At 41.0% G+C, this 22,811-nt stretch overlaps 1 protein-coding gene across 21 annotated transcripts in view, besides 3 other annotated features; it reads right to left on the reverse strand.

Annotated features, from left to right (window-relative positions):
• The window catches only part of MEMO1 (mediator of cell motility 1), a 143,186-nt gene that overhangs the window by 114,030 nt on the left and 6,345 nt on the right, over positions 1 to 22,811 (reverse strand). The gene's annotated exons all lie outside the window — the stretch shown is intronic.
• Positions 2,356 to 2,857: an enhancer, noted in NCBI's record as "H3K4me1 hESC enhancer chr2:32209277-32209778 (GRCh37/hg19 assembly coordinates)". NCBI's record gives its function as "activates a minimal SCP1, AML or CMV promoter by ChIP-STARR-seq in primed H9 embryonic stem cells {active_cell/tissue: H9 hESC(primed)}" and the evidence as "EXISTENCE:reporter gene assay evidence [ECO:0000049][PMID:30033119]".
• Positions 2,858 to 3,357: an enhancer, noted in NCBI's record as "H3K4me1 hESC enhancer chr2:32209779-32210278 (GRCh37/hg19 assembly coordinates)". NCBI's record gives its function as "activates a minimal SCP1, AML or CMV promoter by ChIP-STARR-seq in primed H9 embryonic stem cells {active_cell/tissue: H9 hESC(primed)}" and the evidence as "EXISTENCE:reporter gene assay evidence [ECO:0000049][PMID:30033119]".
• Positions 18,772 to 19,272: an enhancer, noted in NCBI's record as "H3K4me1 hESC enhancer chr2:32225693-32226193 (GRCh37/hg19 assembly coordinates)". NCBI's record gives its function as "activates a minimal SCP1, AML or CMV promoter by ChIP-STARR-seq in primed H9 embryonic stem cells {active_cell/tissue: H9 hESC(primed)}" and the evidence as "EXISTENCE:reporter gene assay evidence [ECO:0000049][PMID:30033119]".

Raw genomic sequence — 22,811 nt, forward strand, 5'->3', positions numbered from 1 at the left:
TTTTATGCATTTGTCAGACCCATATAACTGAAATCATAAATAATGAACTTTAATGTATGCAAGTTAACCAAACAAAAAAATTTACCAATACGTCAGGATATCCTAGGATGAAATGTAGATGGTGACAAATGAATCTAACAGTATTACAAATACAAGATACAACTGGCCGGGCGCGGTGGCTCATGCCTGTAATCCCAACACTTTGAGAGACCAAGGTGGGTGGATCATGAGGTCAGGAGATTGAGACCATCCTGGCCAACATGGTGAAACCCCATCTCTACTAAAAATACAAAAATTAGCTGGGCTTGGTGGTGGGTGCCTGTAATCCCAGCTACTCGGGAGGCTGAGTCAGGAGAATCGCTTGAACCCAGGAGGCGGAGGTTACAGTGAGCCAAGATCATGCCACTGCACTGCAGCCTGGTGACAGAGGAAGACTCTGTCTTCGAAAAAAAAAAAAGGCCAGACGCGGTGGCTCATGCCTGTAATCCCAGCACTTTGGGAGGCCGAGGCGGGCAGATCACGAGGTCAGAAGTTTGAGACCAGCCTGACCAACGTGGTGAAAGCCCGTCTCTACTAAAAATGCAAAAATTAGCTGGGCATGGAGGTGAACGCCTGTAATCCCAGCTACTCGGGAGGCTGGGGCAGGAGAATCGTTTGAACCCAGGAGGCAGAGGTTGCAGTGAGCAAGATCGCGCCACTGCACTCCAGCCTGGGCAACAGGGCAAGACTCCGTCTCAAAAAAAAAAAAAAAAAAAGATACGTATGAAGTTCAGGAACTTCCCAAAGTTACTTAACTTTGGGAAATGATGCTTTGATTAGAAATTGTAACGCTAAAGGCACAAAAGCTGTATAAAAACTTATACTCTAGCTGGTAAATTTGTTTCAAACAGAGGTATAGGTTAACAGTTCTACACCTGCTTTTCATGTATACTGGCATTGAACAAATAGGTAAAATGAATGGTAGATGGTGGGTGGGAGCCAGGTTTCTCAATGTTGAGGAGAGAAGTTACAGATAAGTACAGGGAAAACAGTAAAACAAGCCCTGTGGTACTGGATTAGAGTTGGAGAAATGAGTACAAACTCATGTTAAGTTTAATATACATAGGCCAGGTGCAGTGGCTCACGCCTGTAATCCCAGCACTTTGGGAGGCCGAGGTGGGTGGATCACTTGATGCCAGGAGTTCAAGACCAGCCTCGCCAGCACGGTGAAACCCCATCTCTACTAAAAAAGAAAAAAAAAAAATACAAACCCACAAAAATTAGCTGGGTGTGGTGATGGGCGCCTGTAGTCCCAGCTACTCGAGAGGCTGAGGCAGGAGAATCGCTTGAACCCAGGAGGCAGAGGTTGTAGTGAGCCAAGATCGTGCCATTGCACTCCAGCCTGGGCAACAGAGCAAGACTCTGCCTAAAAAAAATTTTTTTAAATCTTAATATACATAAAAATGGATAGATACAGAAAGAGATATGTGTGTACATATGCTACTATAAATAAATATATTTCCTGTCTCTGTCCCCTGACAGGACTTAGAAGCAGTGATACCCAGTAGCCATTAACACATTCAATGCCCAAATCTTAGTTTTTTGTTTTTTTTGTTTTTGAGACAGAGTTTCGCTCTTGTTGCCCAGGCCAGAGTGAGGGTGGCACAATCTCGGCTCACTGCGACATCCGCCTTCCGGGTTCAAGCGGTTCTCCTGCCTCAGCCTCCTGAGTAGCTGGGATTACAGGCATGCACCACCATACCCGGCTAATTTTGTATTTTTAGTAGAGACACGGTTTCTCCATGTTGGTCAGGCTGGTCTTGAACTCCTGACCGCAGGTGATCCGCCTGCCTCAGCCACCCAAAGTGCTGGGATTACAGGCGTGAGCCACCGCGCCCGGCCCCAAATCTTTGTTTCTAAATATCATTTCCCAATAAAAGAAAGCAAGGCTCCTTGGAGAAATAGAACATTCTACCCACAGGGCAGGAAAATATAAGATGAGCTTGAAGCATCTTGAAGAAAGCAAGAGAGTGCTTAAAAGTCCAAAGAATGGAACATGCCAAAAGGATTCAGGTACCAACCTAAAAATAATCCCAATAGCTAAGGCTGAAAAATTCTGAGCAACAAAATAGTGTGGGATTGGATTACCTTCCAAAGTACAAAATAAATATACATGAGTCCATACGGATATAAATAAGTTGAGTGGGGGAGGGGCAGAGACAAATCTTCCTTAGAGAAGAACTCAAGTAATGTATGCAAATATTTCCTCATCCAAAGTGTGGGTTGGACTTCAGCGACTCACATCCAAAGAACAGAATACGGCAAAAGGAAGATAGCAACTTTACAACAGACAAACCTGGCAAACACTTACTACCTTAACCAAACGATCAAAGTTAACCTCACCAACATTAATTTAATGTAACCCCAATATATGATGAGGTCATTATACCTCTGTGGTATTCATCCCCAAAACCCGTAACTCCAATCTAATTAAGAGGGGTGGGGAGGAAAAATCAGACAAATCCAAATGAAGGAACATTTCACAAAATGCCTGACAGTGTCTCAAAACTGTCTTGGTCATGAAAAACAAAGAAAAATTAACAATTTGTCACAGATCAGAGAAGACTAAAGACAGGCTCACTAAACACGATGTGGTAACCTGGATAAGATCCTAGAACAGAGAAAGGACATTAGTGGGCTGTGCGCAGTGGCTCACACCTGTAATCTCAGCACTTTGGGAGGCCAAGGCGGGCGATAACGAGGTCAAGAGCCATCCTGGCTAACACGGTGAAACCCCGTCTCTACTAAAAACACAAACAAAAAAATTAGCGAGGCGTGGTGGCGGGCACCTGTAGTCCCAGCCAGTCGGGAGGCTGAGGCAGGAGAATGGTGTGAACCCGGGAGACAGAGCTTGCGGTGAGCCAAGATTGTGCCGCTGCACTCCAGCCTGGGCGACAGAGCGAGACTCCGTCTCAAACCAAAAAAAAAGCAAAAAAGGAAAGAAAGGACATTAGTGTAAAAACTGGTGAAATCAAATAAAATCTGGAGTTAATTGTACTGACCAACTACTATTTTTAGTTTTAATAAATGTACCATGTAAGAGTAAGATGTTACTGTAAGATGTTAACAGTAGGGGAAAATCGGTGAGGAATATACAGAAATTCTGTACTATCTTTATAACTTTTCAGTAAATCTAAAATCTTTCCAAACTAAAAGGTCATTAAAATAATAATAAACATGAATAGTACAGAAATCTGAGGTCATTTAAAGAGCAGGCAAATATCACCAAATTCCTCACTAAATCCTGACAGTGTCACTATTTTACAACACAGTAAAACATGGTCCCCACTGGTTTTTTAAGAAAATAAGAGATATGTATTCCCAAGTCCCTAAAATAAAATCTATAAACGCTGAAAGTGTTTACCTAAAATAAATAACAAAATGATTCTTAGAAAATTATAAACAGCAAGGATTTTAATCTTATTCATTTACACATTTACTTATTTATTTATCGAGATGGAGTCTCGCTCTGTCACCAGGCTGGAGTGCAGTGGTGCAATCTTGGCTCATTGCAACCTCCACCTCCTGGGTTCAAGTGGTTCTCCTGCCTCAGCCTCCAGAGTAGCTGGGATTACAGGCGAGCGCCACCATGCCCAGCTAATTTTTGTATTTTTAGTACAGACAGGGTTTCACCATGTTGGCCAAGTTGGTCGTGAACTCCTGACCTCAAGTGATCCAGCCACCTGGGCCTCCCAAAGTGCTGGGATTACAGGCGTGAGACACCACACCCAGCCTACATACTTATTTTCCACCAAGAATTAGTGTTGCTCTCCTTTACATGGCTTTTAACAATTGTTTAGAATCACATTTACTCATTTATTAATAGAAAATGTCATATTCCACAAGCAATTTTATACACCAGAAGTCCTCATATGCATGTAATGTTTAACTTAATAATCTAGCAGAACAAAGTTATTTATGCAAAATCTTTACTAATAAATATAGCTGGCTTGGCAGCCAGGCACAGTGGTTCAGACCTGTAATCCCAACACTTTGGGAGGCCAAGATGGGAGGACTGCTTGAGGCCAGGAGTTCAAGACCAGCCTGATCAACATGGCAAGATCCCAACTCTATTAAGTATATAAATATATATACTTATATAGCTTGTCTGTGAGTTATCTCAATAGATTATTCACAGTCAGTTACAGATGGAACTCCCTGTTCTATTCTTTCTTCCCTTCTCACTACTGCCTATTGTTTTTAAATTTAAATATAACTGTTGGCCAGCCGCGGTGGCTCACGTCTGTAATCCCAGCACTTTGGGAGGCCGAGGCAGGCAGATCACGAGGTCAGGTGGTCGAGACCATCCTGGCTAACACGGTGAAACCCCGTCTCTACTAAAAATACAAACAAAAAAATTAGCCGGGCGTGGTGGCAGGGGCCTGTAGTCCCAGCCAGTCGGGAGGCTGAGACAGAATACAAACAAAAAAATTAACCAGGCGTGGTGGCGGGGGCTTGTAGTCCCAGCCAGTCGGGAGGCTGAGACAGGAGAATGGCATGAACCCGGAAGGCGGAGCTTGCAGTGAGCCGAGGTTGCGCCACTGCACTGCAGCCTGAGCGAAAGTGTGAGACACTGTCTCAAAAAAAAATAATAATAATAATATAACTGTTACCTTCACTCATTATTTATTGTGTAACCAAAATAATTTTCTTTCATATATCCTTTTCACTCATTCATTCACCTATTTATAAACATATTAATAAGTTTTGCAAAATACCTATTAAGTACCAGGACTGTTTCTGATTATGAAGATAGAACAGTAAACAAGACAGGCAGGTCTACATTCTCATGGAGCATATATTCTAAAGGAGACAGGCAGACAGTAAGTAACAACTTAAGTAACTTCAAATTGTGATAAACACTATAAAAGAAACAAACAGAAATATTTACTTCACTGCTATTCTATGTGCAGTAGAGGAAAACAGACTACTTCCAAAAAAACAGGAAAGGCACCTTTAAGTACGCGACAACTAAATTGTTATTTGAAGGATAAGAAAAGTCAAGAAAAGAGCTGGGGAAAGCAATGTCTCGGAAGAGAGAACAGCAAATGCAAGGGCCCTAAAGTAAAGAGTGTAGCATGTTGCAACAATTAGGGAGAAAACAATGGCCGAAGTTTTCTGTTTTTGTTTGAGATGTGTTCTCACTCTGCCACCCAGGTTAGAGAGCACTGACAGGATCAAAGCTGACTGCAGCCTTGACTTACTGGGCTCATGTAATCCTCCCACCTCAGCCTCCCCAGCAACTGGGACTACAAGTGTGTACAATAATGCCTGGCTAATTTTTTACTTTTTCTAGAAAAGGGGTCTCGCTATGTTGTCCTGGCTGGTCTCAAAGGCCTGGCCTCAATCCTCCCACCTCAGCCCCCCACACTGCTGGTATTACAGGTGTGAGCCACCTTGCCTGGACCAACAAATGTTTTGTTAATCCTAAAACACAACAAACAAGGAGAATGACAAAAGACTAGGAAGGATAGGTAGGCATAGGCCATATCATGTGGGCTGAAATAAGAAGCTTACGTACAATTAAAAAATCATTAATGATTTTAACTAGTACAGTCATATTAACCAATTTACATTTTTCAAAATTCTAAAACATACACTTGTAAATATTATTTAATACACAATGTAAGGCTAAATTTGTCATCATTCAATTTGGAAACCTGGTGTCAGACAAATAACATTATAATCTAGTCATATTAGTCATTCAATCATTCATGAAGCATTTGGCCAGCTCCTGCCCTGTGCCAGATAGCTCTGGGTGTTGAAAATACAAAGATTATAGTGGTGATGTCACCTTCCACTTTGAGCAATAAATACAAAAATGATAATGATGATATCATCCTCTATTCTGAGCAATCTAGTTTTCTTCCTAAGGCCTCAAAGCTGTAGTTTTCTAACTGCTATATATTAAAACCACCTTAGTGTATGGTAAAAAAAGCAGATAGGGTCCCAGCTAGCAGTAATTCTAATTCAGTAGGTTTCCAATCATCCTTCACCATACTTTGAGGTGAAGGACGAAAAATAAAATCACCTGTAATTTATAAATTACTTCATGATTCTTGAGAATCATGCCAAAATGAGCCACTGTAATTAATGGAAGGAGTATGCGCAGAGTGTTAGTAGGAAGGACTTGGAGGAGTCAGTATGTACAGAGAGATTAAGATTGATAACCAAGATTAAGTTGGTAAGAGTTCTTGGTTTCTTTTTTTCTTTTTCAACTGCCAAGAAAGAAGTAAGGATTTCTACATACCAGAAGTCTGCAGGACCTTTCAGAAGGTCCTCCAGACCAAAACCACTTTGAGAATAATACTAAAATATTATTTGTTTCTTTCACTGTATTGGGATTTTCCCTGAAGGTTCAAAAGTAACATTGGGCCAGGCATGGTAGCTCACGCCTGTAATCCCAGCACTTCGGGAGGCTGAGGCAGGCGGATCACTTGAGGTCAGGAGTTTGAGACCACCCTCGCCAACATGGTAAAACCCCGTCTCTACTGAAAATACAGAAATTAGCTGGGCGTGGTGGCACACGCCTGTAATCCCAGCTACTCAGGAGGCTGAGGCGGGAGAATCCCTTGAACCCAGGAGGCAGAGGTTGCAGTGAGCCAAGATGGGGCACTGCACTCCAGCCTGGGCGACAAAGCAAGACTCTGTCTCGAAAAAAATAAAAAAAATTTAAAAAGTAACATTGGATAAAACTGCTGTTGTCTCATTAGCAGTAGCACCGAACTACAGTAGTAGTCACTACATTCTTCATTACCAAACACTCACCAAATTTTTTAAAGCCAGTTTCACTTAAGAATGTCCTTGATATAGCTGCAAATATTACACATTAAATCTTTGCCCTTAAGTATACAACTTCTTAATATTCTGTGCACTTAAATGGGTAGAAAGATGGCTGTCTCAAGAAAAAGCATCTTATGAGAGTTGCAAGCTGAACTGTGCTTTTTTATAGACCACCATTTCTCTTGAAAGAACAACTAGTTACTTACTCTTGGGTATCTGAAAGTTATTTCCTTGAAAATGAATAGTGGGCAGCCAGGCATGGTGGCTCACGCCTGTAATCCCAGCACTTTGAGAGGCCAAGGCAGGCAGATCACCTGAGTTCGGGAGTTTGAGACCAGCCTGACCAACATGGAGAAACCCCGTCTCTACCAAAAATACAAAATTAGCCAGGCATGGTGGTATGTGCCTGGAATCCCAGCTACTCAGGAGGCTGAGGCAGGGGAATCGCTTGAACCCAGGAGGCAGAGGTTGCGGTGAGCCGAGCCAAAGGCTGCGGTGAGCCAAGATCGCGCCATTGCACTCCAGCCTGGGCAACAAGAGCAAAACTCTGTCTCAAAAAAAAAAAAAAAGAAAGAAAGAAAGAAAATGACTAGTGGGCTTGTCACATCAGGGAAAGTAACCAACAATATTTAAGCTTCGAAAAAATTCGAATTTTGCAAAACATAGTTTCTACCACTATGGGCTTAACAACTTCCCAAGTCAAAAACACTTTTCTAAAGAGAATGGTGACGATATTAACAGGTGTGATTCTTTGACAACAAATAATGAAATGTGTAAACATTTAGAAGATCTGCGTAACTCAATAAACAAATATTTTCCAACTGACTAATGCATGATGTTTGAAAATTCCTGCAAGGAAAAAAGATACAACCAAAGTGGAGGATAAACCAACTAGATTCATAGATCTTAATGAAAACACAATATGAAAACTTTACTGAGATGGTTTCAAATTCTACACTGCAATTAATCTTTAAGAAATTACCTTCAAAAGGTACATCTTGATTGTGTTGACTTTCATAGATATATTAAATATATGTAACTTATCAACTATATCTCAATAAAATGATTTTTTTTAAAAAAGGAACTACCGCATGTAGAGTTTCAGTATAGCGTTAAATATGGCTATCCATAAGTATCTGGAAAGTCTATTAAATAATTTTGGCCGGGTGTGGTGGCTCACACCTGTAATCCCAGCAATTTGGGAGGCCGAAGTAGACAAGATCACTTGTACCCAGGAGATCAAGACCAGCTTGGGCAACATGGTGAAACCCTGTCTCTACAAAAAATACAGAAATTAACCGGGCATGGTGGTATACACCTATAGTCCCAGCTACTAGGAAAGTGAGTAGGAAGGATCGCTTGAGCCCAGGAGGTCAAGGTTGCAATGAGCCATGAGCATGCCACTGCACTCCAGCATGGACGACAGAGCAAGACTTTGTCTCAAAAAATTAAATAAAATACTCCTCCCTCTTCCAAATTTACATCTGGGTGAGGCCAGATTTTCTCCATATGCTTCAAGCAAAACAACATATCACAACACTGAATGCAGTAGCAGATATGAGAATCCAGCTATTTTCTATTAAGCTAGACATTAAAGATATTTGCAAAACTATAACAAATGCCACTCTTCTCATACTCTTCTTGTTCCGAAAGATAGTTATTTTCATTAAAAATGTCATTTATGTTAGCATGTAATGGGTTTATTATTGCTATTTTTAAATAAATTAACAGTAAATAACTTTGGTTGGTTGGCTGGTTTTTGGTGTCTGGGGTGTTTTTGGTTTTTTCTTTTTTTGAGACAAGGTCTGGCTCTGTCACCCAGGCTCGAGTGCAGTGGCATGATCTCAGCTCACTACAAACTCTGCCTACCAGGCTCAAGCCATCTAAATTTTTTTTCTTTTTTTTTTTTTTTTTTGGTAGAGACAAATTTCGCCATGTTGCCCAGGCTGGTCTTGAACTGGTGAGCTCAAGTGATCTGCCCACTCAGCTCCCAAAGTGCTAGGATTACAGGTATGAGCGACCACGCCTAGCCAAAAGTAAGTAACTTTTATAGCTTCTCAGTTTTAGTTTCTGATTTGATATCTAGTGATATACATAACCCACATAAATAAAAACTCTTTAGGGCTATCAATAATTTTGAAGGCTATAAAGAGATTCTGAGACTGACAAGAGACTAACACAAGAGCAAATGACATTTCGCTGAGACTAGCAAGAGAACAAATGATATATTATTTAGATATGCACTATATTGAATCACCTTAATGAATGTGTCATATCTTCCTCTGAAAAACCAGAATAAGGAGCCACCCAAAAAAGGGGGGTATCAAAAGCAAAATAATGACTATGTTATAATATGAAAAGATCTTCAACTATCAAATTTGTTAACTACAAAAAGGCCAAATATAAAATAACTATACAAGCTAGCTCTTGCTGAAAAAGAGAAAATGATGACTTATAGTCACGTGTGTTTATATATGCATAAACAATCACTGGATAGACAGACACATAAGAAATTGATAAAAGCAACCACCTATAAGGGAAGGGGAACATGGAATACACAAGGACAATGCAGGAATGAGACTTCTCAATATTTTTGACTTTTAAAACACAGGAATGGGCCGGGCGCGGTGGCTCACCCCTGTAATCCCAGCACTTTGGGAGCCGAGGTGGGAGGATCATCTGAGGTCTGGAGGTCGAGACCAGCATGACCAACACGGAGAAACCCCGTCTCTACTAAAAATACAAAATTAGCTGGGTGTGGTGGCACATGCCTGTAATCCCAGCTACTTGGGAGACTAAGGCAGGAGAATCGCTTGAACCTGGGAGGTGGAGGTTGCAGTGAGCCAAGATCGCCCCATTGTACCCCAGCCTGGGCAACAAGAGCAAAACTCCGACTCAAAAAAAAAAAAAAAACACAACACACACAGGAATGTATACAAAAGTTTTTAATTTAAAATTTAATTTAATTAAGTGTAAAATAATTCTAAGCCAATATTAAGCCATAATTCAAACATTTCCAATTTCTAAGTTGCTCTGATCTCAGAAAAACAAAAAATCTTACTCTTTTTATTGGCTCTGAGGCAAAACAGTGCTGTCAGCAACTAAACGCTCATACTAGAAGAGTAAGCACTGGTCAATCTGATTTCTAAGACACAGGAGGGAAATGTTTTTTTAAACCTATAAATGAATCCATCATCTATAGAAAAAACAAAATATTATTAAGTAATTAATAAGAAAATAGCCAGGTAAAATCAGCAGTTATTTTATTAACTCCCTTATACTTAAAAGTTGTCTTTTGCTTGAGCCTTCAGTCACAAGTAGCTCAACCTTCGCTTGCATCTCAGAGGAATATTCTGAAATTGTGAGAAGTTTCCAAATTTTATAAGAATATCAGCTTAACAAAAATTCTTAAATTATTTCTGTCACTTTTCCTAATAGTCAACATAAAAAGGCATATTTCTTTCCACATGGATTAGTCGCTCTCCATAATTTCCAACAGAATTCTTAAGCCTAGGTCAGGGCTGAGGAAACAATTGGGAGGCCAAATCTGCTTCACCACCATTTTTTTATAGATCAAGTTTTATTGAAGCACAGCCAGTTATTCACTTACATATTAACTATAGCTGCTTTCACAATACAAGGGCAGAGTTGACTAGCTGCAAAGGCACAGATCATATGGCCCACAAAGCCTAAAATATTCACTATCTGATCCTTTACAGAGATAAGAGGTGTCATGGCAATAAACAAAAGTGGGTTCATATCTCAAATCTCATATCACAATACATTCCAAATGGATAAAAGACTGAAATGTCAAAAGTGAATTAATGGGCGGGGCACAGTGGTTCACACCTCTAATCCCAGCACTTTGGGAGGCCGAGGTGGGTGGATCACCTGAGTTCAGGAGTTCGAGACCAGCCTGGCCAACATGGCAAAACCCCATCTCTACCAAAAATACAAAAACTAGCTGGGTGTGGTGGCGGGAGCCTATAATCCCAGCTACTCGGGAGACTGAGGCAGGAGAATCACTCGAACCCAGGAGATGGAGGGTGCAGTGAGCCGAGATCGTGCCACTGCACTCCAGCCTGGGTGACAGAGTGAGACTCCGTCTCAAATTTAAAAAAAAAATGAATTAATAAAATAATAAGGAGCATTTATAGAGAATTAAATGGGGAACACCCAGATATGTCCAAAAAACACTAAAGATAATAAATATAAGCAATTGGAAGAAACAATTAACTAAAATACATATTTGAAAACTATGGAAAAAAAATCATCAGAAAATCAAAAGTCAAATGGGATACTGGGAAAAAAATGCTTCCAACTAATGTCACAGGAAAAAAAGGGTCGATTTTTCTACAAATAGTGGCACATGCCTCTAGTCCCAGCTATTCAGGAGGCAGATGCACGAGGATCACTGGAGCCAAGGAATTTGAGACTGCAGCGAGCTATGACTGTGCCACCGCATTCCAGCCTGGGCAACACAGTAAGACCCTGTCTCAAAAAAAAGAAAGAAAGATATGAAAACATGCTCAACCTCACTCATACTAAGAAAAATACACATTAAAACTATAGTGGCATGAATTATATTTCCACTCATGAGGAAGTAACAGGTCCAAACAACCTACATCCATATACAACTACAAAAACTAGACAAAACATATAAATATGCATTGCATTATTTTTTCAGACATTAGACTACATGGGCAACAGGACTGTGGAAAAGGAAATAAACAAAATGAGATTTTAAATGACCCAGAATTCTGCCAGAAGACAACTTATAAACTACTGCCCAGTGAAGAGGAGCACAGACCTGGGTGGGATCACTAAAATTTGCCATACTGAAGTTTGAGAAGGCTAGGTGGCTAGAATTTCCGGATCAGAATTCTGGAGAAGAGGAAGCTAAACAACAAAGAACTCTGGAAATCTGCAAAGGGGTTCACTCAGGTTTTTGGTTTAATACCACAACCTGCCCACGCACAGGGTAAAACTCCACAAAGCCAAAGAAACTCTTCTGGGGAAAGAACAATTTCTAGAACTCAGTGGGCCAAAATCATTGGAGCTATCACCAGTCTGAGTGGAGATACCTCACTGATTATATGGCAGATTTAGAACAGGCCCCAAAAGAGTAAAGCTTTAATGATAGAACTCCACCAAGGCCAAACTATCCTATTTTTTATCCTAAAAAATTGTAAAACAAGTCAGAAAACTATAAAAATGATCCATAAGTAATGCTGTTGCTGTCTGCCAGAAATACAGAAATATCATCAATACTTTCTTTTTTTTTTTTTTTTTTTTTTTTTTTTTGAGACAGAGTCTTGCTCTGTCGCCCAGGCTTGAGTGCAGTGACATGATCTCGGCTCACTGCAACCTCTGCCTCCCAGGTTCAAGTGATTCTTCTGCCTCAGCCCCCCGAGCAGCTGGGATTACAGGCGTGCACCACCACGCCTGGCTAATTTTTGTATTTTTAGTCAAGACAGGGTTTCACCATGTTGGCCAGGCTGGTCTCGAACTCCCAACCTCAGGTGATCTGCCCACCTCGCCCTCCCAAAGTACTGGAATTACAGGCATCAGCCACCACACCCGGCCACCTCAATACTTCTTAAATGAATACCACAAATATCATACTCGAGATAAAAGTCACAATGTCTGGCATCCAATAAAAATTAATAGAGAGGTCGGGCGTGGTGGCTCACACCTGTAATCCCAGCACTTTGGAAGACGGAGGTGGGCTGATCACCTGAGGTTGGGAGTTCAAGACCAACCTGGCCAACATGGTGAAACCCCATCTCTACTAAAAATACAAAAATTAGCCAGGCGTGGTGGTGCGTGTCTGCAGTCCCGGCTACTCAGGAGGCTGAGGCACAAGACATCACTTGAACCTGGGAGGTGGAGGTTGCAGTGAGCCGAGATTGCACCACTGCACTCCAACCTGGGTGACAGAGCCAGACTTTGTCTAAAAAAAAAATAATAATAATAATAATAATAGACATACGGCCAGGCACAGTGGCTCATGCCTATAATCCCAGCCTTTGGGAGGCCAAGGCAGGCGGATCACTTGAGCCCAGGAGTTGGAAACCAGACTGGACAACATGGCAAAAACCTGTCTCTACCAAAAATACAAAAATTAGCCGGGCATGGTGGTGCACACCTGTAGTCCCAGCTACTCAGAAGGCTGAGGCAGGAGGATCAATTGAGCCCTGGAGGTCGAGGCTGCAGTGAGCTGTGATTGTGCCAAGGCACTCGTGCCTTGCGGTGGGGGTGGAGGTAGAGCAAGGGAGGGAGGGAGGAAAAGAGGGAGAGAGGAAGGGAGGAAGGGAGGGAGGGAGAGAGGGAGGGAGGGAGGAAGGCAGGCAGGCAAACATGACCAATAAACAGGAAGAAAAATAATTCACTATACCCAGACCCAGAAATTATAGATTAAAAAAACAGCTATTGTAGAAATATTCAATATGCCCAAAAATCTAAATGACATGAATATATGAAAATAAGAGAATTGGCCAGGGACGGTGGCTCACACCTGTAATCCCAGCACTTTGGGAGGCCGAGGCGGGTGAATCACTTGAGGTCAGGAGTTCAGGACCAGCCTGGCCAATATGGTGAAACCTCATCTCTACTAAAAATACAAAAATTAGCCGGGTGAGGTGGTGGGCACCTGTAATCCCAGCTACTCGGGAGAGGCTGAGGCAGGCACATCGCTTGAACCTGGGAGGTGGAGGTTGCAGTGAGCCAAGATTGCACCACTGCACTCCAGCCTGGGCAATAGAGTGAGATTCTATCTCAAAAAAAGAAAATAAGACAATCAAATGGAATATAGAGATGAAAATTATAATATTTGATATAAAAGTTTCATTCATGGAATTAAAAGCAAAATTAGATACTGCAGAAGATCACTGAACTTGAGAACAAAGCAAAATAAATTATACAAAAGGAAACAGAAAAAAAGGGGGGGAACATTCTCAGTGAACTGTGGGAGAATATTAAGCTATGCAAGATATATGTGACTGGAGTGTCAGAAATACAAAAAGAGAAAAAAAAAATCCTCAAGGAGGTAATAATAAAGATGAAAAATTTCCAAATTTTCTGAAAACTATAACCCAGGCATCTAAGAATCACAGTAAGCCCCAAGGGATAAATTCAAAACTATTCAAAGGTACATGATAACAGCAGGAAAATGGTAATAAGTAAGAAATTGTCAAGCGACCTGAAGAAAAGACACACTATATTCAGAGAAACAAATATAAAAAAATCATAGACTTCCAGAAGCTATGCTAAGCCAAAATACAATACAAAATTTATAAAGTGCTACAACACACCAAAAACTTAATACCTACCAAACTACCTTTCAATAAAGAAGGGCGTAACGATAGAGTGAATTCATCAAGAAAACATATATCCCAATATGCACACCAAATAATATAAAATCAAAAATACATAAAACAGCCAGGCATGGTGGCTCATGCCTATAATCCTAGCACTTTCGGAGGGAGGAAGGGAGAGAGAGGGAGAGGAGAGGGAGAGAGAGAGACAGAGGGGGAGAGAGAGAGAAAGAGAGAGAGAGAGAAAGAAACAATGAATCAAGAAAACTAAAAGAGGCATGGCACGGTGGCTCACACCTGTAATCCCAGCACTTTGAGAGGCCAAGGCGGGCGGATCACTTGAGGTCAGAAGTTCGAGACAAACCTGGACAACATGGTGAAACCCCATCTCTACTAAAAACAAAAATTAGCTGGGTGTGGTGGTGCACACCCGTAGTCCCAGCTGAGGGAGGCTAAGGCAGGAGAATCACTTGAACCTGGCAGGCGGAGGTTGTAGTGAGCTGAGATCGTGCCACTGCACTCCAGCCTGGGCAACAGAGTGACACCCTATCTCAAAAAAAAAGGAAACTAAAAGAAAAAATAAGACAAATCCCCATCTATAGATGGAAATTTCAACACTGCTCTTAAGAATTCATAGAAATAGTGAAAAGAAAATCAATAGGAATACAGAAGATTCCAATACAATAATCCAACTTAATCTAATTAACATTTATAGAGCATTCCACCCCATAACTACAGAAAACATACATACTCTTTAGGAGTCAAGGTCGTGCTCTGTCACCCATGCTGGAGTGTGGTCGTGTAATCATAGCTCAATGCAGCCTCGAACTCCTGGGCTCAAGCAATCATCCTGCCTCAGACTCCCGAATTGCTAGGATTACAGGCATGAACTACTATGCCCAGCAGAGAACGCATATTACTTTCAAAAGAACATGGAACACTCACCAAGACTGAACATAGAACACTCGCCAAGACAGATCTTGTAATGCACCACAAGTCTACTGTGAGCTGTCAGGGCTCAAGGGAGAAAAACAGATGTAATAGTTCCTAAACTTATTTGACCATAAACCCTTTCTGCAAAAGGCATCTCCAGAGACTACTGTCTCCCAGAACACATTGAGGTCAGGGACCTCAATGAAAAAAATACTTGAGGTAATAATAAAGACAAAAAACTTCCAAATTTTCTGAAAACTATAACTCAGACATCCAAGAATCATAGTAAGCCCCAAACAGGATAAACTCAAAACTATTCAAAGGTACATGATAACAGCAGTAAAATGTAATAAGAAATCGTCAAGCAACCTGAAGAAAAGACACACTATATTCAGAGAAACAAATACTCAGAGAATATACGCACTATATTCAGAAAGACACACTATATACAGAGAAACAAACCACCACACCCAGCTAATTTTTATATTTTTAGTAGAGATGGGGTTTCACCATGTTGGCCAGGCTGGTCTCAAACTTAATGCTTAATCTGTATTCCTTACAGATGTTGAACCATTTTCAACATCTCTTCCTTTCTCTCCTCCTGTGACTAACAAAATCAGGCAATCAATACAAATTTCCTTTCCTTGACCATCAGTCAGAATTAGTCAATCTTATGAAGTATCTGAAAAAGTCCTAAAGCAGGAATAAGCTTGACATACTTGGGGAACAGCAAGGAGCCCAGAATGGCTGGAATAATGTGGTGAAAGGAAAAATGGTAGATAAAATGAGAAAGTTAAGCAGAGGTCATAGTATGTAAGACCTTGTAAGTTGTGGTAAGAAGTTGGAATGTGGTTATGTAATTGGGGGAGGGGAGATTAAGAAAAGGATATTATCGAATCTACATTTTCAAAAAGATTTCTTTGCCTCTGTGTAAAGAACAGAATGGAAACTGGGCAACCAGTAGGAAGCTCTCCCAGTAACACAGGAAATGGCTAAGACGAGAATGGCTTAGACCAGACTTACACATATGTGTTTCACAGAAAAATGCCCAGGCAAATCTACATAAATTATGCTGAGATGTCTTCAACTTAAAGCTTTTTTTTGAGACAGAATCTCACTCGGTCACTCAAGCTGAAGTAGTGCAGTGGCATAATCACAGCTCACTGCAGCCTCAACCTCCCAGGCACAAGCAATCCTCCCACTTCAGCCTCCACAGTATATGGGACTATAGATAGGCATGTGCCAACCACACCTGGCTAATTTTTGTTATTTTTTGTAGAGACGGGGGTCTCACTAAGTTGCTGGTCTTGAACTCCTGAGCTCAAGCAGTCCTCCCACCTCGGCCTCCCAAAGTGCTGGGATTACAGGCATGAGCCACCAAGCCTGGCCTGAAGTATTTTCTTTACTTGGTTCCCAGGACATCTCATTCTCCTCCTCATGAGATGCTTAATCTGTATTCCTTATAGGATCTCCCTCATCCCCCCAACCTCTTCATGTTGGAATGTTCTAAGGCTTGGTCACTGAACCTCTTTTGTCTAACTATTCTCATTCCCATGGTAATTTCATCCAGATACCTGGCTTTAAAAATCATTTATGGCTGGGCACAGTGGCTCACGCCTATAATCCCAGCACTTTGGGAGGACAAGGTGGGCAGATCATGAGGTCAGGAGTTCGAGACCAACCTGGCCAACATAGAGAAACCCCATCTCTACCAAAAATACAAAAATTCAGCTGGGCATGGTGGTGGGCGCCTGTAATCCCAGCTACTCGGGAGGCTGAGACAGGAGAATCACTTGAACCCAGGAGGCGGACATTGCAGTGAGTAGAGATCATGCCATTGCACTCCAGCCCAGGAGACAATGTGAGACTCCGTCTCAAAAAAAAAAAAAAGAAAAAATCATCTATATGATGCTAATCTCCACTTTTAAATCTCCAGTCTAGACCACTTCCCTAAACTCCAGACTCATACATACACTTGACTGTACAGTGAACATCTCAAACTTAAAATAACAAAATTGAGCTCCTAACCTTCCCCCGCCAAACTTGTTCCTCTTAGATCTTCCCTATCTCAGTATAATAGCAACTCCATCACTGCTAATGCTCAGGGATAAACCTTAAGAGATAACCATGACTCCTTTCTTTCTTTCGCACTCCATACTTCAAGTATGTCAGCAAATCCTCTCAGCTCTATCTTCAAAATATATTCAACAACCAATCACTTCTCACCATCTCCACTGTTACTACTCATTTCAAGCCACTATCATCTCACAGTTGGATTACTCCTTTCCTCCTAACTGGTCTCCCTGGTTCTGCCCTTGCCACTGCTTTCACCACTCCCCAACCTTCAACTACTCTCATCACAGCAGCCAAGTAATTATATTAAATCTACATTAGATCATGCCATCAACTGCCCAAAACCTTCCAATGACCATCTGACTCAAGTAAAAGTCCTTTCTAGACTAGGCACAGTGGCTCATACCTGTAATCCCAGCACTCTGGGAGGCTGAGATAGGAAGATTGCTTCAGTCCACAAGTTTAAGACCAGCCTGAGCAATATAGTGAGACCCGCCCCCCCATCTCTACCAAAAATACAAAAATTTGCCAGGCACGCTGGTGCCTGCCTGTAGTCCCAGCTACTCAGGAGATTGAGGTGGCAAGATCGCTTGAGCACGGGAGGTTAAGGTTTCAATGAGCTATGATTGCACCACTGCACTCTAGCCTGGGCAACAGAGCAAGACCCTGTCTCAAAAAGTCTCCAGCCACCTCTTAACTCATATGATACTACTCTGTTCCAGTTCACTTCATTTCAGCTGCAATGACCTTGCTTACTGGGTGTTCCTCAAATATTCCAGGCCTGCTCTAGCCTCAGAACCTTTGAATTTGCTGTACCCTCTGCCTAAAATCATCTATCCCCAGATAATGTACAATACAAGGCTTGTTCTTTCACCTGCATCAGGCATTTTTTTTTTTTTTTTTTTTGGACAAATCCTCAATCTGTCGCCCAGGCTGGAGCGTAGTGGTGAAACATGGTTCACTGCAGCCTCCTGGACTCAGGCAATCCTCCTGCCTCAGCCTCCTGTGTAGCTGGGACCACAAGCACACATCAGCACATCACTACATCCAGCTAATTTTTTTATTTTTTGTAGAGATGATGGTCTCACTTTTTTGTCCAGGCTGGTCTCCAACTCCTGGGTTCAAGCAATCCTCCCATCTCAGCCTCCCAAAGTGCTGGGATCACAGACCTGAGCCACAGCACCCAGCTCAAGTCTTTACTCAAATGACATCTCAGTGAAGTCTTCCTTTTTACTTATTTTTTTTTTTTTGAGACGGAGTTTCACTCTTGTTGCCCAGACTGGAGTGCAGTGGTGCGATCTCAGCTCACTGCAAGCTCCGCCTCCTGGGTTCACTCCACTCTTCTCGCCGCAGCCTCCCAAGTAGCTGGGACTACAGGAACCTGCCACCACGCCCAGCTAATTTTTTGTATTTTTAGTAGAGACGGGGTTTCACCGTGTTAGCCAGGATGGTCTCGATCTCCTGACCTCGTGATCCGCCCGCCTCGGCCTCCCAAAGTGCTGGGATTACAGGCGTGAGCCACCGTGCCCGGCCAATTTTTTGTATTTTTAGTAAAGACAGGGTTTCATCATGTTGGCCAGGCTGGTCTCAAACTCCTGACCTCAAGTGATCCGCCCTCCTCGGCCTCCCAAAGTGCAGGGATTACAAGCGTGAGCCACCGCACCTGGCCGAAGTCTTCCCTTTCAATGCTATTTAATATTGCAGCCTGGACCCCTGAGCCTTTAAACATTCCCTATGCACCAGCTGTGCTTTGTTACTCTCCATAGCACTTTCCTCTATCTAGCATACCACATATTTTTTTTTTTTCCATGACATAGCCCTCAAGAGGTCCTGAGAACATGCACCCAATTTTCCTTACTTTATCCATCATCTGTCCCCGCAATTAAAATGTAAACTCCAGGAATTTTAGTCTGTTTCATCCCCTGCTATACACCTAGTCCCATCAGCAGTGCCTTTCACATAGCAGAAATTGATTCGTTCAATATTGAATTGCTGAATATTAAATAAAGCCTCTTCAGAAGTGCCATAAATTTTGATTTTTTTTTTTTTTTTTTTTTTTGAGACAGGAGTCTCGCTCTCTCACCCAGGCGGGAGTGCAGTGGCGCAATCTCGGCTCACTGCAAGCGCCGCCTCCCGGGTTCATGCCATTCTCCTGCCTCAGCCTCCCGCGTAGCTGGGACTACAGGAGCCCGCCATCACGGCCGGCTAATTTTTTTGTATTTTTAGTAGAGACGGGGTTTCACCGTGTTAGCCAGGATGGTCTCGATCTCCTGACCTCGTGATCCGCCCGCCTCGGCCTCCCAAAGTGCTGGGATTACAGGCTTGAGCCATCGCACCCGGCAGAAGTGCCATAAATTTTATTACGTCCAATTCAAATGTTAGGACTAGCCTAATTAAAATATACCAATTATTTTGTAATTATATATGTATTATATTTATATTATACTAAGCATTCGTTTTTAGTTATGTTTATTATTTTTTAATGTAAGATATTACTTGACAATTAAAAAGATGTTTACTGATTCCAAATAGTTCAACTTCTCACTCTGGCATAGCTATAAATGGAAAGAACAGTAGGCTTCAGCCAGAAGTCCTGGGTTCAAATCTTAGCTCTGCAGTTTACCAGTTACGACTCATACAAGCCTCCTCCAAGTCTTAGTTTTTCTTCTTAACAGTAAGCTTTAGCCAGAAGTCCTGGGTTCAAAACCCAACTCTACTATTTACAAGTAATATGACTCAGATGACGTAGCCTCCTCCAAGTCTTCGTTTCTCATCTATAAAATGGCAAGGTGAGGGTAGAAATAAAGACTTGCCTGCATTACCAACCCTATACCTAATCATAAGATTATTGTAACAATTAAAAATATATGGCCAGGCGTGGTGGCTCACACCTGCAATCCCAGCGCCTTGGGAGGCCAAGGAGGGTGGATCACAAGGTCAGGAGATCAAGACCATCCTGACCAACATGGTGAAACCCCGTCTCTACTAAAATACAAAAAATTAGCCGAGTGTGGTGGCACATGCCTGTAGACCCAGCTACTTGGGAGGCTGAGGCAGGGGAATCGCTTGAACCAGGAGGCAGAGCTTGCAGTGAGCTGAGATCTCGCCAGTGCCCTCCAGCCTGGGCAACACAGCGAGACTCTGTCTCAAAAAAAAAAAAAAAAAAAAAAAAATATATATATATATATATACACACACACACACACATGTATATACGTATATACGTATATGTGTATATATACATATACATATATACGTGTATATATACATACACATATATACATGTACATATATACATATACATATACATATATACATACACATATATACATATATACATATACATATATACATACATATGTATGAGGAAATCCTTTATATAAGCCACAATATACATATATATATAATATACATGTATGAGTTAAATAATACACACATATACATAATATACATATATGAGTTAAATATTCATACTGCAGTTTGGGGAAAATGAAGTAGGATAAAGTAAGTTCAGTGTTTCGGGCAGCATATTTTCCCATACCTTCCTGCCCCTAATACCAAACTCTAATTTTAGAGTCAGACTGGTTCTTCAACTTACTTGTTATACCTTAAACAAGTTACTCAACTTAGGTCATTGTTTCCACATCCATAAATGGAGATAATACCTACCTTGGAGGGTCCTTTTGAAGATTAGGGATTATATACATACATACGTAATATACCTATGAAATATACTTAATGAAAGTTTTTGTCATTTTCATCTTCTTTCAAATGGACAAAAACTCAAAAGCAGTTGACACGAACCATGGAGACAGTGAAGGAGATGATTTTGACTTGGAAACTGCATGTGAAAGGACAAGGAAACTGAAAACTAGAAATAATCAGGCAATCATATCAACAGTTTGCCTGTTAAATATGTTCTTTCCTTCTTGCCTTTCTGCAAGGTAAAATAATAGGATGGGATGCAAAGAAAAATCAGCATACAGAAAACAGTATTTAGTAACATAAAATAATTCACTTCGAAACTAAATTTTATTATATAGTCTTTCCAAAGAGAAATATTTTTATTATTCAGTTTTTCAATTTCCCACACACCAAGATGTATTATTTTGACACTCTATCTTTTTTTAATCCAATCAAACTTCCAGCAAACATTTTATACTCCTAAACTTACAGTACATGCCAAAAAAATTAAGCTGTAGTTTTCCAGCTATAGAACCCTGATATAATTTTATCAATTGTTTAGAAACATAGTAGAATTAATGAAAACAAAAACTAAAACTGCATTTAAGATATATATCATAGAAATACTTCAAGAATGTTCTTTGAAATTATCAGACTTTGGATATTTCCTCAATTCCATGACAGCCGTGATTATAAGATGTACCATCAATAATATAACCACTATTTGCCAAGGGAAAAAAAGCAAAGAAATGTTCTATTTCTTAACACAGGGACTTGTTACATAGGGTATATGAAATCTGTGCATATCCACCAAGGTATATACTTGATTTGTATACTTTTTCAATATATGTTTACTTCAACAAAAAAAATTTAATGTAATGTCCTGCTACTTCACAAACACAGCATACATATGCTCAAATCAACCAAATGAAGTATAGATCTAAACATGAAAGATAAAAAGAGAAAGCTCTTAGAAAAAAGCACAGGAGGGTAACTTCATGACATTCAGGTAGGTAGAGATTTCATAAACGGGAAACAACAAAAGCACTAACCAACTGATAAACTGGACTTCTTTAAAACTAAGAATTTGGCCAGGCATGATAGCTTATGCCTGTAATCCCAGCACTTTGGGAGGCCAAGGCAGGAGGACTGCTTGAGACCAGGAGTTTGAGACCAGCCTGGGCAACAAAGTGAGACACCATCTCTACAAAAAATTTTAACAATTAGCCAAGGATGATGGCGCACATCTGTAGTTAGCTACTCAGGAAGCTGAGACAGGAGAATAGCTTGAGACCAGGAATTTGAGACCAGCCTCAACAAGAGTGAGACACCATCTCTACAAAAAATTTTAAAACTTAGCCAGGCATGATAGTACATGCCTATAATCCTACTCAGGAAGCTGAGGCAGGGGGATCGCTTGAGCCCAAGAGTTAGAGGCTGCAGTGAGTTGTGATCACACCATTGCCATCCAACTTGGGCAACAGAGCAAGACCCTGTCTCAAATAAATAAATAAGTAAATAAATAAATAAAAGCTTTAATTCACTGACACACCAAGATTCTAAAAGGGCAGAAGATAGATGCAATATGTACCTAACAAAGAAATGTAGCCAGAATAAGAACTAGAAGTCAATATGAAAAAAATAAACAGCCCAGTAGAAAAAAAGGGCAAAAGATTTAACAGACACTTCACAAAAGCAGAAATCCAATGGCCAATAAACATGGGGTCCCTAACAAGAAAAAATGCTCAACTTCATTAAGTATCAGGAAAATATGAATTAAAACTACACTACAATATCACTACACACCCTTCCAGAATAACTAAAAATAAAAAGACTGACAATACCAAGTGTTAGCAAAGATGAGAAGCAACTGGAGCTCTTACACACTGCTGGTGGGAGTGTAAATTTGTAAAACCAATTTGCAAAACTTTAGCAGAATCTACTAAAACTTATCACATGGGGCCGGGCACAGTGGCTCACACC

This window comes from Homo sapiens, chromosome 2 (genome assembly GCF_000001405.40).
Source record: "Homo sapiens chromosome 2, GRCh38.p14 Primary Assembly".
In the NCBI taxonomy this organism is placed as follows: Eukaryota; Metazoa; Chordata; class Mammalia; order Primates; family Hominidae; genus Homo; species Homo sapiens.